Source organism: Homo sapiens, chromosome X, assembly GCF_000001405.40.
Source record: "Homo sapiens chromosome X, GRCh38.p14 Primary Assembly".
In the NCBI taxonomy this organism is placed as follows: domain Eukaryota; kingdom Metazoa; phylum Chordata; class Mammalia; order Primates; family Hominidae; genus Homo; species Homo sapiens.
Window position 1 is genome coordinate 53,688,848 of NC_000023.11, and position 23,058 is coordinate 53,711,905.

At 41.5% G+C, this 23,058-nt stretch overlaps 1 annotated feature.

The window, feature by feature from the left end:
* Positions 15,852–15,901: an enhancer, noted in NCBI's record as "active region_29664". NCBI's record gives its function as "activates an Ori minimal core promoter by ATAC-STARR-seq in GM12878 lymphoblastoid cells {active_cell/tissue: GM12878}" and the evidence as "EXISTENCE:reporter gene assay evidence [ECO:0000049][PMID:35858748]".

Sequence of the window (23,058 nt, forward strand, 5' to 3'; positions counted from 1 at the left end):
GCATTTCCCTAAATTCTTACCCGGACTCGATATTAACCAATCATTTTAATATTTTGCCAATATAATGGGTGAAAAATGTCTCATTATTTACATTTCCCTGATTATTAGCTAAGGAGTATTTTCTTTCTTTCTTTCTTTCTTTCTTTCTTTCTTTCTTTCTTTCTTTCTTTCTTTCTTTCTTTCTTTCCTCTCTCTCTCTCTTTCTTTTCTTTCTTTCTCTTTCTTTCTTTTTTTTTTTGAGACAGTCTCACTCTGTCTCCCAGGCTGGAGTGCAGTGGCATGATCATGGCTCACTGCAGCCTCGATCTCCTGGGCTCAAGGGATCTTCTTGCCTCAGCATCCTGAATAGCTGGGATTACAAGTGCAAGCCACCATGCCTGGCTAATTTTTTTTGGGGGGGGAGGGGGGAGTGGGGAACAAGATGAGGTCTCACTATGTTGCCCAGCCTTGTCCCAAACTCCTGGGCTCAAGCAATCCTCTCCAATCTGCCTCAGCCTCCCAAAGTGTTGTTTCAGGCGTGAGCCACCGCACTGTGCCCCAAGAGATTTTTATCTATTTTATTATGAAAGTTTTCAAACATACGACGTTGAAAGAATTTTACATCTGTATACCCACCACATTGATTTTACCATGTTTTGTTATAACTTTACTACATATATGTCATTTATCTATCCACCAATCAAGCCATCTTATTTGTATGCATTTCTCTTTCTCATGTAACTAAACTCTCCAGAGTTTATTCTGTTGATATTTTCAAAGAACTATTTCTTAGATTTATTTTTCTGTTCTACCATTTTTCCCATTCTCTACTTAAGTTATTATTTTCAGCTTTAATGTTTATTAATATCTTCCTCCAGTTTTCTCTAAGTTTATTTTTTTCAGTGTTTTACTTCATATGAAGTGCTCTCATTCTTATTAATTTCTAGTTTATAATTTTAGGTTTGATTTCTTCTTTGACCATGAGATATTTAGAAGTATTTTCTTTGTGAGGTGACTCAAATTTTTTCTTATCTGGATGTTTTTGTGGTTAGAGGTTAGCTGTACTGCACTGTGTTCCATTAATGTGACTTTTATTATTTCTACTATTGGAAATGCATTGTGCTTTCTTTTATGATTCAGTACCTGATCAATCTTGGCAAGAGTTGCATAGGCATTTTTAAAAACTTTATAGCGTACAATTTATGTGCTTTTATAACTGTTTTCTTCATACATTTAATGGAATATTGGTTGCTATGTATGTTTATGACAGAAGATAGTCTTGGTAGATAGTCTCTTTTTTTCTTTTTTTAGAGACAGGATCTCACTCTGGTGCCTAGAGCTAGAGTGCAGTGGCACAATCATAGCTCACTGTCACCTCAAACTCTTCAGTATCTCTCTTTACCCTGTTTAAAGTTTTTTTTTTCCTTGAATACTATTTTTCTTTCTTTCTTTCTTTTTTTTTTTGAGACACAGGACACAGTTTCACTCTGCCACCCAGGCTGGAGTACAGTGGTGCAATCTCGGGTCCCTGCAACCTCTGCCTCCCTGGTTCAAGCGATTCTCCTGCCTCGGCCTCCTTAGTAGCTGGGATTACAGGCCCATGTGCCACCACACCCGGCTAATTTTTGTATTATTAGTAGAGATGGGGTTTCACCATGTTGGCCAGAATGATCTCGAACTCCTAACCTCAAGTGATCCACCCACCTCAGCCTCCCAAAGTGCTGGGATTACAGGTGTGAGCCACTGTGCCCAGCCTGAATACCAATTTTTCTAATATTCATGCTGTCATTTTTGTATATGTAAATATCTTTTTTTTTAACTGATTACAGAAGATCAGACAAATCCACAAATTATTCGAATAGAGTTAATGGCATGATGTATATTCTTTCAGAACTTTTTCTATATATACATTTACACCTATATTACAATGCAGATTTTTTAAACCAAAAAAGGAGAAATAAAGATATATTTAAGTTTTACAACTTGCCTTATTGACAATGCATTCTTGAAATTCTTTCTGTCAGTGTCTATACGTTTACCTTATTCTTTTTAATTGATCTCTGGAGCTGGCACTTACACAGTGCCTGGCCCATCACTTGCTTTTTTTAAAAAAATTAAATATTGCTTCAGGGAAGCCTTCCTTGACCCCCGCCGCCCCGCCAAAACTGGATCAAGGTCCACTGTAATACGCGTTCATAGTACTCTGCTATTTTCCTCCCAAACCACCCAAAACAATTGTACAGTTGTGTGATTAATATCTGTTCCTCACCACCCTACACACACACACCTCACACCTCTACACTGAACAGTGAGCTCCTCAGAGGCAGGGACCAAGCCTGTTTTTTTTCCTACTCATACACCAGCACCTATTATAGTGCCTGGCAATTATATCTGTTCGATAAATATTTTTGATGCGATTATGCCCATTTTACAGGTTAGAAAGCTGTGCAAATTAAGTAACAGTTGTCCTATAAGAAATCCCCTGAGGCTACTCAGAAATAAATAGAGGTAACAACAGATTATGAGTGCCTTAACACGCCAATACATAACATATTTTCCTTAGTTTTAAATTATTCACATAGGGTAGATATTCCTTTGGATTGTTACTGAGTTTTCATTATTATGGAGAGTGCTGAAATAAACATTCTTGTAGTAATAGCTTTACACATGTTTGTACTCCTATAAGATAAATAAATAAATAGAAATTGAATTCCTGCAAAGGGAATGCACATTTTACAATTGGATAGATATTGCCAAATTGCCCTCCAAAAGAGATTACGCGAATTTATATTTGTAGTACCCAAGTATGAGAGTGCCTTCCGCCCCCATACCCTTGCCAGAGCTGTGCATTTTCACTAATTTTTTTCTTTGGTAATCTGATACTTACAAAGTGATATGTCATTCTTTTCATTTTCATATCTTTGATTTTTGGCGAGGTTGAATATCTTTTAATTAGTTTCTTGGCCATTTGTATTCTTCTTCTTCTAAATGTATAGCTTGTTTGTACATTTTGCCCATGTTTTTTGTTGAATAGTCTTGTTGTTGAGTTGGAATAGCTCTTTTTATATCACGGATAATACTCTTGTCTTCCTGTCATAAATATTTTCTTCATTTTTTTGTTTGTGTTTTAACCTTATAAAGCTGTTTCTTAGAACATACAAGTTTAACATCCTTTATATAATCAAATTTGTTATCATTTCATTTATTTATAGTAGCTGGTTTAAGTGCTGTGTTCTGAAAGGCTTTGCCCACTTCAAGACTAGAAAACTCTTCATCTATGTTTTCTTCTAACGCCTTTATGGTTTTGAATATTACATTTCAATATTTGTCTCATGTGGGTATTATTTTGGCGTGTAGTACAAACGTAGGATTCCAACTTTATTTTTTTCTCAAAATCTATCCAATTGTTCTTCATAATTATTGAATAGTTGACATTTCACTCATTAACTTAAAATGCCCCCTTTATCAAATACTAAATTCCCTGACATTTTGGGATGCATTTGTAGAATCTTCTGTTCCATTGTGTAATAGTTAAGAGTGCCAGCACTGGAGCTGGATTTGAGCCCAGCTCTGCCATTCATAGTTTCCTCTTCTGTAAAATGGGGATAATAGTACCCACCTCATAGGGTTGTGATTACCGGATAAGTTCATTTATGTACAATGATTAGAACTGTTCCTGGCCTTCAGTAAGTATTTGGTATTTTTGTAGTATTTATTATTCTTAAATTTTTAGTATTGCTTTTTATTTTTCATAGTATACAATCACATGATCTGCACATAATATTTTTATCTCCTTGTAGAGTGACTGTTAATCAACTTGAACAATTTGGAGATGACGTATTACAACTCTACTTATCCCTCATCCTCATATGTTGTCCAACCTAGGTATCTTAACTCTAGGTAGTTAGGAAGGGAGAGGAGAAAAGAGGAAAGGAAAATGAAGCCATCCGTATTCACAGATGGCATGACTGTCTACACAGAAAATCCCAAATAGCGTGCGCACGCACACACACACACACACACACACACACTTCCCTAGAACTAATACATGAATTTAGCAAGGTTGCAGGATACAAAGTCAACACACAGAAATCAATCACATTTCTTTATCCTAGCAATGAACAATACTATTTGTAATAGCTCCCCAAAAATAAAATGCTTAGGTAAAAATCTAACAGAACGTGTACAGGACCTTTATGCCGAAAACTACAAAATGCTGATGAAAGAAATCTCCGAAGTCCTCAATAAATGGAGAGATAGACCGTATTCAGGGACTAGAACACTTAACATATTAGAGATGTCAGTTCTCTCTAAGTTGATCTATAGGCTTCATGCAATTCCTATTAAAATCCCAGCAAGATCTTTTGTGGATATATATCGACTCTAAACTTTACATGGAAAGGCAAAAGAACAAGAATAGCCAAAGCAATTTTGAAAAGATTAATAAAGTTGGAGGAATCACACTGCTATACCTGATTTTAAGACTTACCACATAACTGCAGTAATCAAGACAGTACGGTTTTGGAGAAGAGACAGACATATAGACTAACATAACAGAATAGAGAATGCATAAATGGACTCATACAAATCTTGATCAAAACCTCACACCTTATACAGAAATTAACTCAAAATGGAGCATAGATCTGAATATAAATCACAAAACTATAAGAAAACATAGGGGAAAATCTGGAACTTTCTTTTTTTTTTTTTTTTTTTTTTTTTGAGAGGGACTTTCACTCTTGTTGCCCAGGCTGGAGTGCAATGGCACAATCTCGGCTCACTACAACCTCCGCCTCCCAGATTCAAGCGATTCTCCTGCCTCAGCCTCCCCAGTAGCTGGGACTTACAGGCACGCGCCACCACGCTAGGCTAATTTTTTTTTTTTTTTTTGAGATGGAGTCTCGCTCTGTTGCCCAGGCTGGAGTGCAGTGGCATGATATTGGCTCACTGGAACCTCTGCCTACCGGTTCAAGAGATTCTTGTGCCTCAGCCTCCCGAGTAGATGGGACTCGGGCGTGTGCCACCATGCCTGGCTAATTTTTGTATTTTTAGTAGAGACAGGGTTTCACCATGTTGGCCAGGTTGGTCTTAAACTACTGACCTCAAACAATCTGCCCCCTTCGGCCTCCCAAATTGCTGGGATAACAGGCATGAACCACCACACCCGGCCTGTATGTTTTTATTTATATGACATTTTTTCAGAAGACAAACTATAGTGATAGAGAACAGGTCAGAGATTAGGCATGGAGGCATACGAATTCAAAGCAATAATAAGATTAAGTTTTTGGAGGTGATAGAACTTTTCTGTATCCTGATTGTGGTGGTGGTTACATTAATCTATGCATGTGTTAAAATTCTTGGAACTATACACAAAACGTCAAATTTACTGTATTGATAAAAGTACAGGAAATGATGCTATAATTAGAATGACACCTGCTATGTCTTGTAGGTCAGTACACAACTTTAGGTTTATCTAACCATGTTTTTACCCTTACAATTTCTTCTGGGAATGCTAAGCTCACTGTAAAATATCCTTAGTACAGGTAAGCCTCTGTGCTCAATCCAGTTAACCCTGTCTTGTTCTACAAGGTGCATCATTAGAATTCTTTCAGTTACAAATAATAGCAAAGCCAAACACACAGTATTTTATTATTTCCCATAAGTCCAGCTATAGAGGGATTCCAGGGCAAGTAATTCAGCAGCCCAGCAATGTCACTAAGGACCTAGTTTCCTTCCATCTGGTTCCACTATCTTCAGCCTATTAGTCCTTCACCTTATGATTACAAGACATCCATAGGTACTCAGGTATCCCAAGGCCATACAAAAGCATTAAGAGTCTGGAAGAAAGAACATAACTGTTATGTGTCCTTTATTAAGACCAAGAGAAACTTTCCCTATGCCCCCAGTAGATATCCCCTCTTATTGGCCAGAAATTGTGTCTCACGCCCATGCCTAAACCAATCATTTGGCAAGGGAAATAGAATTATCATGATTAGTTAGCTCAGACTAGTGCCACTCATTGTGTGGTCCCTGGACTGGTGCTAGTCTGTAAACTGTTGGTTAACAGACTGTGACAAGCTGAATACAGAAGTTGAGAATACACATTTAGAAACTTGTATAACAAATTGAGTAATTGTTATGTCTTTTGAAGCTAATACAAATTTGGGGCTTGTATTTTGTAGGTCTTCATTTGAGAATCCCTGCTCCCTTGATGTACAGTGTTGCCCTATGTGAGAACAAAAATGGGGTCTCTATGAGGGAGGAAGAAAGTGAAGGATGGCCATTGGGTAGGACATCAGTAGTGTGGGCCATACAGAAAATGGTAGGGATGATATTGCTCCTAGAAATCCTGGAAAATTCCACACAAGAACAGAATTTGGGACCAGCACCATGGAGCAGGCTCTCCTTTTGGCTTTACTTGCACGCTCTTCTGTAGTGCTACCACTCCCAGGGTGTAGAATCCCAAGCAATTGTGTCTGTCTGAGAAGCCACACCCCAAAACCTGTTTCCCAGCAAGCTCAACATTATCTGCGGTTTTTTTTTTTTTTTCTGATACCAGACAGTGGCTCCTTAGAAAGCTATGATTGGTTTACATCTGCCCATCTTGCTCACAACAACAGCAAAAACAAAAAATAAAGAGAAAATAAGTCGACTGGACATGCCCATCCAGTCAGCTAGCCATGGTGACTGACTCTGTGGCCTGTGGTAGTGGCTTTCAAAGGTTTTTGAGATAAATTTACAGAATAAGAAACATACCATATTTGACATCACAACTCAGTACATATACCTGTGCATGCAAACACACACACACACACACACACACACACACACACACACACACATCTGAAGCCAGTGTTTCACAAAACAATATTTACCTTTATTATGTAATGCACTCTGTTTAAAGAAAAAAAAAACTATTTCTTTTTTTTTTCATATTTCTATTCATTATGTTAAATGTTGATTTCACTCCACTAAATTGATTTCACAGCCCACCAATGCTTTAAGACCTGCAGTTTGGAAAGAACTGCCCTAAAGGGGTGAGATGTAATGGTTCCCAATTCCAGCGGCCTTTAGAATGACCACCAGTAGCCCCGTGTGGGATGTTGTAGCTCCCTTTGTGTCTGCTTCAAGATTTTAGCCCCAACCTAAAACAATGCTTCTGCAACCTTGTCTTTTTCCTCATCAGCTTCTCAGACTTCAGAGTTCCGGCCTCCTAAATCAGCTGCCTTAGCAGTGAGAAGGCCGGAGGCCCTCCAGGCTGTGCGCGGAGCCTGAGTTGCCCTAGCAACACTTGGCTGTAATTGACTCCCGCAGTCACCTGCTCCAGCCTAGCCTGCTTCTCTGCACTATGGACCGTGGCCCCCTTTTCTCCTGCCTTTCTTAACAATTTCTGCATCCTCATTATATAGACAGATGTCTCCTCATTCCTCCCCCTCCCGATGGATGGTCAGATTCTTGGCATACACCTCCCTGGCACTCTCCACATTGCCAAATACTCGCTCTGACATGATTAGACACTCACAGAGATGGATGATTTGCATTTCTTTCAGATCACAAACAACCTCTAGTGCTGGCCAATTTAACTGAGAGAACACAAACTCGAACGTAGGCAGGGGCTAAGCAGGTCATACAAGAGCCTGGATGGAAACTGTACCCCCTCCTAAATGAAGCAGTGGCTATTCCATCCAGCTTATTTTGCCCTATAGAAATGCACATCCACATAGCCAGAATCTTTGAACTGTTCCAGAGAAGCCATAAAATCTGGGTCTTTATATGAACTCTACCAATTTTTATATACTGACAAGTAATTTACAAAATATTTTTGAAAATTCTTATGGGCTAAATCCAACACATCTGTGGGTTGGATCTATTCAGCAGGCTACCAGTTTGCAAGTTGTGTTTTAAACTCTCTTTCATGCTCTGCCTTGCATTTGGACTTGATGTCCTCTGCCATCTGAGGCCAACAAAAACAAAAACAATAACTGGGCTTAAATTAACTCTAAAGTTCTCTCCCTCCCAGATAGGCACAGCAATTAGGCAAAGGCTCTTAAGAGGTGTTCATGGAGCAAAACCAGTCGGTTCTACTCTCTCTACTGAGCACCAGAACACCCAATTCTACCTATTCTTCTGTTCCAGTTTGTTTCAGTCATACAGTAAGAATGTAAGGCTGTAAGGCTGGCCACTAGAGAAAGCCCTGACCTCTGGGGGAGGGGGCCCATCCCTGGGCTCTTCCCTTTGACCGCAGCCATAAATTAGCTGACATCCCCCATTCTTGTATTCCCACCTGTCCACGAAATAGGAACTTCTGCTCTTTCAGAAGTATTGTGAAGAGAGCTTCCCGCAGCCCCTCCGCACCTCCTCCCCACAGTGGCTTCATTGGTGAGGTTCCAAGATAGGACTGAGTGCTTGTTGCTCAGCCCCTGCTGAGCTCCCTGCTCTCTCTTTTTCAGAGTTCCCTTGCCCACAGCACACCTATGTTCTCTCTGCCCCTCCATGTGGTCAGCCTACGAGGGTAGGGAGGCCTGCAGGTGGATGAGCACCCTTTCTGTGACTGGTGGGGTGAGGGTCTGCTGTACAGATCTATCTGTCACCTCAGGAGGGTGCAAAAGTCTAGGTTTGGGATGAACGAGTTGGAAACCTAATTCAGGCTACAGGCCACAGACCTGTTCTCCAAACCAGTCTTAACAACAATACATCTCAATATTCTGATTCCTCTTTAATTCCTGTGTCTATTTCTCAATTAGGAATTCAGTGGAGGGAGAGACTGGTGTGATTATATGATCTTTGGAGGGATCCCACGGTGTATGAATGGGGAAACCTTGAGAAATGGATGCAATGACTGGCATTTGAGGGAGGCAGTTCTCTTTGTAGCAGTATAGTGGCTGGTATGCAAAGGTGTTCTGGCTGTTTTTTTTTCTTTTTCATAAGGGCAGGCCCTAGAAAGTACTGGCCATGTGCATCATTGACTTTGGGAGTTTACAGAAGTTTATATGATAACTGGTGTCTGCAGGCACATAACTGCTTTTCATAGACAGTGGCCTTAGAAAACATAAGTCTCAAAGGTTTTTGACCTTGCAATCGTAGCTGGTATCTAAAAGCAGATAGGCCCATGCAAACCCTAAGTAAGAACAGGCTGTGCATGCTTTTGTGGCTGAGGCATGGATAAGAGTATCAGGAAAATAATATTTTAGCCTTGGCTAAGGTTTGCCTCAAAACAAAGTTTCAATAATCAGACTTTTCACTATCAGAAGGCTGAAAAATATTTGCTCCCTTTCCTCTATTTCTCAGCCAGGATTACAGGCCAGGACTTTAAACTGCAAAAGTAGCCAAATTCCATGTGAACCACAAAGTACTAGAGTGAGATTGTATCTTCTACATTTTAGTAGGTGGCATTCTATCAGTGCTGTTCCTCTATCTTGTTTTTTTTTTTTTATTATTCCACCTTCTATGAGGAATGTTTTTTATTATTTTTTTTGTTATACTTTAAGTTTTAGGGTACATGTGCACATTGTGCAGGTTAGTTACATATGTATACATGTGCCATGCTGGTGCACTGCACCCACTAACTCGTCATCTAGCATTAGGTATATCTCCCGATGCTATCCCTCCCCCCTCCCCCCACCCCACAACAGTCCCCAGAGTGTGATATTCCCCTTCCTGTGTCCATGTGATCTCATTGTTCAGTTCCCACCTATGAGTGAGAATATGCGGTGTTTGGTTTTTTGTTCTTGAGATAGTTTACTGAGAATGATGATTTCCAATTTCATCCATGTCCCTACAAAGGACATGAACTCATCATTTTTTATGGCTGCATAGTATTCCATGGTGTATATGTGCCACATTTTCTTAATCCAGTCTATCATTGTTGGACATTTGGGTTGGTTCCAAGTCTTTGCTATCGTGAATAATGCCGCAATAAACATACGGGTGCATGTGTCTTTATAGCAGCATGATTTATAGTCCTTTGGGTATATACCCAGGAATGGGATGGCTGGGTCAAATGGTATTTCCAGTTCTAGATCCCTGAGGAATCGCCACACTGACTTCCACAATGGTTGAACGAGTTTACAGTCCCACCAACAGTGTAAAAGTGTTCCCATTTCTCCACATCCTCTCCAGCACCTGTTGTTTCCTGACTTTTTAATGATTGCCATTCTAACTGGTGTGAGATGGTATCTCATTGTGGTTTTGATTTGCATTTCTCTGATGGCCAGTGATGATGAGCATTTTTTCATGTGTCTTTTGGCTGCATAAATGTCTTCTTTTGAGAAGTGTCTGTTCATGTCCTTCGCCCACTTTTTGATGGGGTTGTTTGTTTTTTTCTTGTAAATTTGTTTGAGTTCATTGTAGATTCTGGATATTAGCCCTTTGTCAGATGAGTAGGTTGTGAAAATTTTCTCCCATTTTGTAGGTTGCCTGTTCACTCTGATGGTGGTTTCTTTTGCTGTGCAGAAGCTCTTTAGTTTAATTAGATCCCATTTGTAAATTTTGGCTTTTGTTGCCATTGCTTTTGGTGTTTTAGACATGAAGTCCTTGCCCATGCCTATGTCCTGAATGGTAATGCCTAGGTTTTCTTCTAGGGTTTTTATGGTTTTAGGTCTAATGTTTAAGTCTTTAATCCATCTTGAATTGATTTTTGTATAAGGTGTAAGGAAGGGATCCAGTTTCAGCTTTCTACATATGGCTAGCCAGTTTTCCCAGCACCATTTATTAAATAGGGAATCCTTTCCCCATTTCTTGTTTTTCTCAGGTTTGTCAAAGATCAGATAGTTGTAGATATGTGGCATTATTTCTGAGGGCTCTGTTCTGTTCCATTGATCTATATCTCTGTTTTGGTACCAGTACCATGCTGTTTTGGTTACTGTAGCCTTGTAGTATAATTTGAAGTCAGGTAGTGTGATGCCTCCAGCTTTGTTCTTTTGGCTTAGGATTGACTTGGCGATGCGGGCCTCTATCTTGTTTTGAATTGCATCCCATTCAAGAGGCAAGCAAAAACAAACAAACAAAACAACAACAACAACAAAAACACAACTATGAAGGGGCTGCCTTCTTGAATTTTTGTGGCACATTCACAGATTCCTAGATTCACCCCCCTACCACCACCTCTGCATGGCCTCAGGGTGGCTCTGGATTTATTAATTACGGGAGCCATGACCATGACTTTGGATTTTAAAGACCCAGACAATGCGTTTAACCTAGGAAGGCAGGTGATTTTTATCAAGTTACAGCTAGAGGAATGGGAGTGTTTATAATACAAAGGATATATCATCTTGTATTGAGGTGGAGAAACAAGTCATGAAATTATTAAAATTCCAGAGGCCAAGCAAAAACCTTTAAAGACTAACTTCTCTAGGAATATGGTTTGTTCCTAAAATCGAGAAGGTACTGAATTTCTTTCAAAATAATGCTTCATATCAATTTATTTGTGAGTGAAATAACATGATGTCCTGGGATTTACTTTAAAATATTCCAAAAAATGCATGAATAGATGAATTAAAATGTGTAAAGTGTTGATAATTATTGAAGCTGAGTGATTCATTATGCTATTCATATGGGTTTGTTATAGTATTCTTTCTAATTTTGTATATGTTTGAAATTTCCCATAGTAAATCACCAGAAAAAGTAAGAATAAGCTTTGGTCTTACTGTCAGAACAAGAGCAGTGAGACAATAAAAGAAAAAAAGTACAAGAAGATATACTGTTTAAGATGGAGAAGGAAAATTCTCATCCTTAGGAATTCTTATCCTTAGGAATCAATTCTTATGAAAATGTGATCTTGGAGAACAAGCTAGACAGAGATGAAAGGAAAAAGAAGATACACCCAAGATCTAAAGGTTCTTAAAGATGTAACTAGAAAACAGGGAGCTATTTTGTTACTAGGTCATAGAGGTTATCTAGGTCTCAAAGAGACCGGGGAAAGACAGGGAGAGAAGAAAAAAAAGCACTGGAATTACTCTACTGGTTGGAATCCAGATCTACAATACTATTGAGTGGTGTCCTCCTAAAGGTGCACTTAAAGAGTCCATATAAATTTAGAGCAATTAGAAAAAAACCACATGGTAGAAAAATGCATCCCCGCCCCCATGCACACCCCTCCCCGACCCCAAGCTGCTCACACTTTAATCCCTACAACCTGTGAATATGATATATTAATATGACAAAAGGGACTTTGCAGATGTAATTAAGGTACAAACTTTAATATAGGGAGATTATCTTGGATTGCCCAGGTAGGCCCAATCTCATTTTGGCATGAGCTCTTAAAAGCTGAGAACCTGCTCTGGCTGGCAGCAAAAGTGATATTGCAGAAGGAAAAGTCAGAGAAATTCCAAGCATAAGATGTAGGGGCCATGTGCAAGGATGGGATAGAGGCCTCTGAGAGCCAAGAATGGCTCCCAGCTGACAGCCAACAAGTAAACAGGGTCCTCAGTTCTATCAACATAAAGAGCTAGATTTTGATAACCTGAATGATCTTGGAAGCAGATTCTTCCCATAGCCTCCTGATAAGAGAGTCTAGCTGGCTGATACCTTGATTATGGCCTTGTGAAACCCAGAGCAGAGAAACCAGTTGAGCCAATCCAGACTTCTGACCTACAGAACAGTAGGAGAACAAGTTTGTATTTTCAAGCCTGTAAGTTCTGGTTGTCTGTTCTAACAACAATAGGAAACTACTGCATACCATCATATAAAGTGGGTACATAAAATTTGAACAGATTTATGAAGGAAAGACCAAGAGGATCATTGTAAAATATATCATGCATTTTATTTATTACTTGATTTTATTCTTTTCAGGCAGAGTCTCACTCTGTTGCCCAGGCTGGAGTGCAGTGGCGCTATCTCGGCTCACTGCAAACTCCGCCTCCCAGGTTCAAGCAATTCTCCTGCCTCAACCTCCCGAGTAGCTGGGACTAGAGGCGCCCACCACCACGCCTGGCTAATTTTTGTATTTTTAGTAGAGATGGGGTTTCACCATGTTGTCCAGGCTGGTCTCAAACTCCTGACCTCAGGTGATCCACCTGCCTCGGCCTCCCAAAGCGGTGTGATTACACACTCGTGAACCACCGCTCCTGGCCTGTCATGCATTTTAGATGAGTTTCAAGGCAACACATTTATGGGCCGAGAAGCAGGTATGGCATGTCCTTGTGGGTACATGCTCAGGACATGTGTAGAGTTAGAACTCCACGAGAAGGAAACACAGAAGATGAGACATACTACAGGGGAATCAGGCAAGCTAATGATAGACTGAGTTAAACCTGGAATATATATTGATTTTGGTCAGAGAATACCTCCTGGTGGAATTATACAATTCCAATAAGGTGAAAGTAGATAAGAATTGTTGAACAGTGGATGCTTTTGCCAGATCCAAAATTTCTTGACTGCATATCTTTTACTAATGATGAACCTCCAAGTCACAAAGAGTTTGTTAGGAAAACAAATGGTTGCATGTGAAAGAAAAATTAAAGAAGAAAGGAAAGAAAACACAGTGATTGAGAAAGGAGTGGCCATAATGTCAGACACTGCTAATTGTCTTCTAATATCTGTTCTCACTTTCCTTTAAAGTTATTATCATTTTAGAAATGTGTATGCATCCTCAGCTAAACATTGCATTTCCCATTCTCCATTGCAGCTAATTATGATTAAATATTAGTCAATGAGATGAGACTGGAAAAGATGTGTACTCATATATTTTGGGTTGAGCCCTTACAGTGAAAGGTGGATCCTCTTTCCTTCCCTTCTTCATCCTGTTAACTAAAATTGTGAGCTATTTTGTAGCATACGATGGGAGCATCATTCTAGCGATGACGAAAAGAGTAAATGAATGGATAGCCTCATGGAACTACACTAGCCTTGTACTGTCTTCTGGTCTGTTACATCTGAGGGAAATAAAGTTCTGTTGTATTTAAGCTTCTGTTCATTTGTGTTACTGTTACAAGAAGCTGGACCTATATCCTAACTAACATAGCCATGTACATGTTAGGCAAGGAAAGGTGACCAACCCAAGGAGCAGATTAAAATGTTGAAAATTTAGCTGAGGCCAGGCATGGTGGCTCATGCCTATAATCCTAGCACTTTGGGAGGCTGAGGCAGGAGGATCACTTGAGCCCAGGGGTTTAAGACCAGCCAGAGCAAGATAGTGAGGCCTTGTCTCTACAAAAAATTAAAAAATTAGCCGGGCATGGTGGTGCACACCTGTAGTCCCAGCTACTTGGGGAGAGGCTGAGGTGGGAGGATGGCTTGAGTCCCAGAGTAGTTCGAGGCTGCATGAGCTGTGATTGTGCTACTGCACTCCAGCCTGGGTGACAGAGTAAGATCCTGTCTAAAACAAACACCTTAGCTGAGCATCTGGCTCAAGATGGTGATTTGAGGCCGGCACGGTGCCTCATGCCTGTAATCCCAGCACTTTGAGAGGCGGAGGCGAGAGGATTGCTTGAGCCCAGGAGTTTGAGACCAGCTTGGGCAACATGGTGAAATCTTGTCTCTAAGCATGCCTGTAATCCCAGCTATTGGAGAGGCTGAGGTGGGAGGATCACTTAAGCACGGGAGGTTGAGGCTGCAGTGAGCTGTGATTGTGCCACTACACTCCAGCCTGGTTGACAAAGCCAGTCCTTGTCTCAAAAAAAATATATAGTGATTTGAGCATTTGCTAAAACCTGCTATCAGCCCTGTTTCAAATACCTAGAAATCTTGTGTAAATGTTCCCAACTTTTTATTGTGAAAAATCTGGAATATATGGAAAAGTTCAAACTAGTACAATGAATATCATCATGCCCATCACTCAATTGCTTCTTTTTTTTTTTTTCTTTGAGACGGAGTCTCGCTCTGTTGCCCAGGCTGGAGTGCAGTGGTGCGATCTTGGCTCACTGCAATCTCCGCCTCCTGGGTTCAAGCGATTCCCCTGCCTCAGTCCAAGTAGCCGAGATTACAAGTGCACACCACCATGCCCGGCCAGTTTCTGTATTTTTAGTAGAGACAGGGTTTCGCCATGTTGGCCAGTCTGGTCTTCCACTCCTAACCTCAGGTGATCCGCCTGAGTGCTGGGGTCACCTCAGGTGATCCTCCCAAAGTGCTGGGATTACAGTCGTGAGCCACAGCACCCGGTCCCATCACTCAATTTCAACAACTGTTAACATTGTGCTCTATTAGCTCTACCTATCTGTCTATCTATCTAATTTTTTGAACCATCTGAAAGTGAGTTGACTACATCACTCCTAAGTACTTCAGTGTGTATCTTCAAAGGTTGTTCTCCTGTATAACTATAAAACCTTTATCACAACTAAGTATATGAACAATATTCTAACAATATTTTAATGTAGTCTAATAACATCATCTAGATCATATTTTGCTTTCCCTAATTGTTCCCCAATGTCTTCATAGCTTTTTTAAAAAACCAGGATCCAGTTAAGGTTCATGCAGTGCATTTCGTTATGTGTTTTTGTTTGAATTTGGAACAGTTTTTTGGAACAGTTGGAATTTGTCCCATCTTTTTATAAAATATTTTTAAGGTTAAAAAATAAACAGCTGTGCTTGAAAACAAAAAAAAGGAGATCTCCAGGGGTCAGAAACAGAATGAGAACCTATAAAGGAGAGATAGATATGTGTGCAGATGAAGAAGCCAGAACTGACACCGGCTATAGGGGCTGGAGTTTCAGTTCCTGCTTAGACAGAGGAGCTGAGGCCCTACATGTGTCAGGAAATCAACCTAGAGTGAGCAACACTTCACACATGAACATTAAAACAAAAACGAGGTGTAATTTCTTACCCATTAGACAGACAAATATTTAAAATCTCCCCCAAGCGGCCGGGGGCAGTGGCTCATGCCTGTCATCCCAGCACTTTGGGAGGCTGGGGTGGGCAGATCACCTGAGGCTGGGAGTTCGAGACCAGCCTGACCAACATGGAGAAACCCCGTCTCTACTAAAAATACAAACTTAGCCGGACGTGGTGGCGCATGCATGCAATCCCAGCTACTCGGGAGGCTGAGGCGGGAGAATCGCTGGAATCCGGGAGGCAGAGGTTGCAGTGAGCCGAGATCGCGCCATTGCACTTCAGCCTGGGCAATAAGAGCAAAACTCCATCTCAAAAAAAAAAAGAAAAGAAAAAAAAGATCTCCCCAAAGCATTGGGAAGAATGTGGGGAAATAAGCATACTCCTACACTGCTGGTAGAAATATCAACTGGTTCAACCACTTTAGAGAGCAATTTGTCAAAATGTTGTGAAAAAATAAAATCTGATGATGTCATACAATGGAACACTGCACTGAAGTGGTGCTAGATCTACATATAGCAATATGGACAGGTCTCAAAAGCATGCCGTTGAATAAAAAAAAGATACAATTATGTAAATGGATATGCACAAAAATACTATACATAGTTTATGGATGGATGGATGTTTGTAAAGTATAAAAATGGATGAGACTACACTCCAGACCATAGCAGTTGCCTCAGACGAGCATGGCAATGCAGGTGGTAGCTAAACAAAATTTTAGCTAGATTTCTAAGATTTTTTTAATTGCAGAAAGCAAATATGACAAGATGTCTACAATTCTGGGAGATGGGAATATGGGTTTTTATTATAATATTCTTGTACTTTTTCTGTAGTTTTCACATTTCTCACAATTAAAAAGAAAGAGGAAACTTCAGCTGAGCCTGCTCCAAAGGAGAAAGGGAGCTACAAGAGTGGACAGAAAGAACTGTTACTGCTGTTGTTGAAGTTCCACTTAAGGCCTAGAAAATTCGAAGGCTTTTTGCAAGGGCGGCAAGCCCAAGGCAGATAAATTTTTCCTCCCCAGGACCAAAGGGCACAAGCTTCTGAATGTCATTTTAGGAGTCCACTGAAGGCAATTTGTCACATAAAATATATTGGAAGTAGAGGGGAAACCACCACTAAGAGGCAGGCTTTATGTAATCAAGGAATTCCAGAGCAAGAGACAGTGGCAGTAACCACTGAGGCACAAAACTAGATGTGAAGAAATGCCAATCCCAGACCAAGAAAAGATGATGTGCCCAGAATGCAATGACAATCCCCCAAAGATGGTTATGTACTAATCCCTGGAATTTGTGAATATATTACTTTACATAGCCAAAGAGAATCTGCAGATGTGATTAAGGTTAAGGACCTTGAGATGGGGAGATTATCCTGGGTGAACCCAGCGTAATCATACAAGTCTTTAAAAGTAGAAGATGATGGAAGAAGAGTGGATCACTTGAGAAATCACATGAGAAGGACTGACTCTATGGTTGCTGACTTTGAAGATGGAGGAGGGGCCACAAGCCGAGGAATGTAGGTGACCTCAGTTTATAGGCAGGAAGAAAATGGTGACCTTGGTTCAACATCCGCAAAGAACTGAATTCTCCCAAAAAGCCCAAATGAACACAAAGGGTATTCTCCCCTAGTGACTCCAGAAAGAAGCTATGAACTGTGAACCTGGAAGAGCCAATTTTTCAAGATGGAACCCAAGTGGCTAACTGGGCCTAAATTTAAAATAGAGCCATTGCAGTCATTGCTGACTAGAGGTCCCACATATACTCAGAGTTTCCAGAAAGCTCACATCTTTTTTTTTTCTTTTTAAGACAAAGTCTTGCTCTGTTGCCCAGGCTGGAGTGCAGTGTCACCATCTCCTCTCACTGCAACCTCTGCCTCCTGGGTTCAAGCAAGTCTTCTGCCTCAGCCTCCCAAGTAGCTGGGATTACAGGCGCCTGCCACCATGCTTGGCTAACTGGCTAATTTTTGTATTTTTAGTAGAGGTGGGCTTTCACAATAGGAAACTACTACATACCATCATATAAAGTGGTACATAAAATTTGAACAGATTTATGAAGGAAAGACCAAGAGCATCATTGTAAAATATGTCATACATTTATTTATTTATTTATTTAGAGACGGAGTCTCACTCTGTTGCCCAGGCTGGAGTGCAGTGGTGTGATCTTGGCTCACTGCAACCTCCACCTCCCGGGTTCAAGCAATTCTCCTGTCTCAGCCTCCTGAGTAGCTGGGATTAAAGGCATGCACTACCATGCCCAGCTAATTTTTGTATTTTCAGTAGAGATGGGGTTTCACCATGTTGGCCAGGCTGATCTCAAACTGACCTCAGGTGATCCACCCACCTCGGCCTCCCAAAGTGCTGGGATTATAGGTGTGAGCCACCACGACCGGAAGCTCACATCTTTTAACTTCGGGACGTTCAGAACTCATCAGAACCAGCCAATCAGAGCTCACTTGCCTTAGCCAATCAGGGCTCAGCTGTATCAACCAATCAGGGCTTGGCTGTATTGACCAATCAGAACTCAGCTGCCTCAACCAATGAGAACTGACTTTCAATCTTTCGTTGGCATAAACAGGCCTTATTGGGAACTTGGGCAGGAATTTTTACTATGAAACTGGAGCATGGTGGCATTCCTTTGTAGTCCCAGCTACATGGGAGGCTGAAGTGGGAGGATCACTTGAGCCCAGGGATTCCAGGTTACGGTGAGCTATGATCACACCACTGCACTCCAGCCTGGGCAACTGTGTCTCTGAAAAACGAACATGCAAGCAAACAACAACAACAAAATAAGCTTTCCTTTTGTTCTCTGGAATGCACCTTCATTTTACACTGGAGGCTGTGACCCAGGTTTGCAAACTGTTCACTGGACTAAAGTCTCTTTCCTCTAAATTCCTTTTCAGAGAACTTTTGTTCACAGAAGAAGCCCACCTTAATTATAGCCCAGTGAGACCTGCGTGGGACTTCTGACCTACAGACCTGTAACATAATAGATGCATGTTTTAAGCCACTAAGTTTGTGGTAATCTGTTATGGCAGCAACAGTAAACTAATACAGCAAGGGTCTGAATCACACTCGGAGCCATGACTATTCGAAAAGGAGGTGGCTGCTCACAGGAGAGTGTGGAAAAGCTGTGTCACCAAACTGAGTGCAGCCTCAGGGCTATGCTGAGATGCCAGAAGCACAGGTTCAAAATGGGGATTTAAGAGGTTTTAAATAGCCTGGATTTTTTTTTTTTTTTTTTTTTTTTTTTTAATACGGAGTCTTGCTGTGTCACCCAGGCTGGAGTGCAGTGGTGCGATCTCGGCTCACTGCAACTTCCAGCCGCTGGGTTCAAGCGATTCTTCTGCCTTAGCCTCCCTAGTAGCTGAGACTACAGGCACACGCCACCACACCCGGCTAATTTTTGTATTTTTAGTAGAGATGGGGTTTCACCATATTGGCCAGGCTGGTCTCGAACTCCCGACCTCATGATCCGCCCGCCTCGGCTTCCCAAAGTGCTGGGATTACAGGTGTGAGCCACCGCGCCTGGCCAAATAGCCTGGATTTTGAAGAAGGAAGCCTTGAGGATGGCCTGAGGACTATGGGTGTCACCCCAGGAAAATCTAACTTTTCAAGAACACAGGAATGTCGCAAATGTCACCTTCTGAGGGAGGAAACAGTAAACATGCATGGAACTCCACCCTACTCCCGTTTGGTAAACCAAGTGCCATAATTAGTCTCTAGATAAATCTCAGCAGAGTTTAAGCTTAAGAGATTGTGGACCCTAGACAACTAGCACAATTTAACTTGTCTCCTGTTGAAGCTGAAAGCAAGGCAGGTTGTTTTTTGCTCTCACGTTTGCTATGTTTATTCTTCTTTCCCCCAGAGATCATTGTCTCTGCTATAAGCTTTGCTTTCTGTCAGCAATGTGGGTCTGATATACCAGTACAGTATTTTATGTACTGGTTTCTAGTACCATAATTTTACTTATAATAACTGCTTTGGGGTTGAGGTTTGCTTGTTACTTTTTTTTTTTTTTTGAGACAGGGTCTCCCTCTGTTGCCCAGGCTGGAGTGCAGTGGCGATCACAACTCACTGCAGCCTGTACCTCCTGGGTTCAAGCAATCCTCCCACCTCAGCCTCTCCTGAGTAGCTGGGACTACAGACGTGTGCCACCACGCCGGACTAATTTTGTATTTTTTTGTAGAGACAGGGTTTTGCCATGTTGCCCAGGCTGGTCTCAAACTCCAGAGTTCAAGTGATCCCCCTGCCTCGGCCTCCCAAAGTGCTGGGATTACAGGTGTGATCCAGTGCGCCTGGCCCTGCTTGTGACTTCTAAGAATTTAAAAATTTCTTTTTTGAAGTGGAGTCTCACTCTGTCACCCAGGCTGGAATGCAGTGGCACGATCATACTGCAGCCTCAAACTCCTGGGTTAAAGCGATCCTCTTGCCTCAGCCTCCTGAGTAGCTGGGACTACAGGTGCAAGCCACCATGTCTGGCTAATTTTTTCAATTTTTTGTAGAGATGGGGTCTCATTATGTTGCCTAGTCCTGGCCTCAAGGGATCCTCTTGCCTTGGACTTCCAAAGTGCTGGGATTACAGGTGTCAGCCGCCATGTCCGGCCTCCAAGAATTTTTTTCTTTGATTAACCTTTTATTAATACAGAAGCAGTATATATGCATTGTAGAAAATTAGAAAATATAGAGAAGCAGAAATATAATAAATAAATAAGTAAAATTTCCACCTCCCAGAGATCACCACTGTAAGACCTTAGTGTATAACCTACAGGATCTGTTCATGTGTGTCTATGCATGCTTTTATTTTATTACCAAACTGAGATCATACTACACATAATGTTCTTCAGTCTGTTTTTTTCAATCATTAACCTCCCTTTTGCTATTTCAGTACATTTCCAACCCTTCTAACACCCTGCTTCTATTCATATTTTCCCAAATGACCTAAAAATGTCCTATACAGTTGTTTCATCCAAATCAGTACCCAATCCAGACCATGCATTGCATCTGGTTTATGTCCCTTAAGTCTCTTTTAATCTAGAACAGACACCAGTTTTTAATGATACCACTTTGCTGAAGATACCAAGCCAATAGTTCTGCAGACTGTTCCACTTACGAGATTTGTCTGATTGCTTTTTTGCGTTGTTTTCTTCTAAATTTTGTGCATGTGTCATTGATGCTGGGAAAATCTTATGTGCCCAATTAACTCTTTGAACTCTTAGAAAGTGGGACATATGAGAATCTTGACACTGGATTAATTTTGTCTTGAAGGTCCTACAGGAACTTCACCGATTTCAGTGGATGAGAGCCCAGGTTGCAGTAGCCGAAGGAACCTCCAATCTCTCCACACCTCAGAGCAAGATCCTTCTAGCTGAGACTGAGCAGAAACAGAAATCGGGGAGGAAATAGTTTTGGATTTAAATTTCTCTGGCATTTTGGAATTAATCTTTCTCCCAAGATTTTCATAAGTGGAGAGACTTTGTATTGTTCAAATTTGGACATTTATATATTATTTGGAACATTTTAATGCTATCATTTGGGCTGAACATGCAACTTCTGGTGAACTCCATTGGAAAATGTGGCTGGGCATAATTCAGGATGGGAAATACAACAGGGATAGCTTTTACAGCCTGGGATGCAGCAGGGAACTTGGAGTTAATTTAATTAATGTCCTACTCTGATCCACTTCAGAGTTTTTTGGAGGCAAAGCAGAACTGTCCCAGTGTTAGTGCTAAGAGAAGCAGTAGTTGATATTGGGAGAATGGTTTCACGAAAGTAGAACCTGGACTGGCCTGCTGAACTCTAGTCTTCTATCCCTGATGCAGGCAGCCACATTTCTAATGGCCCATGGCTTTGGCTATCAAAAACAACAGGTTAAGATAACACAAGTGTGAAGATTGGCTGGGCGTGGTGGCTCATGCCTGTAATCCCAACACTTTGGGAAGCCGAGGCAGGTGGATCACTTGAGGTCAGGAGTTCGAGACCAGCCTGACCAACATGGAGAATCCCGTCTCTACTAAAAATACAAAAAGTAGCCAGGTGTGGTGGTGGGCGCCTGTAGCCCCAGCTACTCGGGAGACTGAGGCAGGAGAATCGCTTGAATCCAGGAGGCAGAGGATGCAGTGAGCTGAGATCGCGCCACTGCACTCCAGACTGGGCAACAAGAGCGAAACTCCGTCTCAAAAAAAAAAAAAAAGTGTGAAGATTATTAGAGGAACCATGATCTCCCTTGTTATGAGCTAAATGGTGCCCCCTCAAAATTCATATGTGGAAGCTTTAACCCCTAGTACCTCAGAATGTGACTGTATTTGGAAACACATGGCCTTTAAAGAGGGAATTAAGTTAAAACGAGGCTGTTGAAGTGGGCTCTCATCCAATCTGACTGGTGTCCTTATAAGAAGAGGAGATGAGGTTACAAAGAGAGACAACAGAGAGACAACCATGTGAAGAGGCAGCAAGAGAGAGGCCATCTGTAAGCCAAGGAGAGAGAGAGGCTTCAGAGGAAAGCAACCAGGCTGGCAGCAGCTTGATCTTGGACATCCAGCCTCCAGAACTGTGAGAATATCAATTTCTGTTTTGTTTTTTTTTTTTTTTTTTTTTTGAGATGGAGTCTCGCTCTGTCGTCAGGCTGGGGTACAGTGGCATGATCTCGGCTCACGGCAACCTCTGCCTCCCAGGTTCAAGCGATCCTCCTGCCTCAGCCTCCCGAGTAGATGGGACTACAGGGCGCCACCACGCCCATCTAATTTTTTGTATTTTTAGTAGAGACGAGGTTTCACCATGTTGGCCAAGATGGTCTCGATCTCTTGACCTCGTGATCTGCCCGCTTCGGCCTCCCAAAGTGCTGGGATTACAGGTGTGAGCCACCGCGCCCAGCCCAGTTTCTGCTGTTTAAGCCACCAAGTCTGTGGTATTTTGATACAGCAGCCTGAGCAGACGAATACATACCTCTTCCTATGTTCCTACCGGCACGCGAAATAGAAACTTGCCCTCTTTCAAAAGTATAGAAATCACCTGAGGGGTTTTAAAAAATACTCATGCTTATGCCCCACATTCCAGAGATTCTTATCTAATTGGTCTGGGTGGTGGCCAGATTATGAGGTTTTTAAAAGCTCCCCAGGCAATTCTAAACTATAGCCAAGGTTGAAAACTACTGGGCTCAGAGGTCAACCAAGAGTTGCATGGCACAGCAGCTGGAGATGAACAGAGACCAGGGCTTTGCCAACAAAGCAGGAGAATGGTAGGAATGCAGCCACCCCACAAAACTTTTGGGGAAAGTTGGTTCTATGACCGGGAATTTGGGTCTTTGTGGACTGTTGATTACA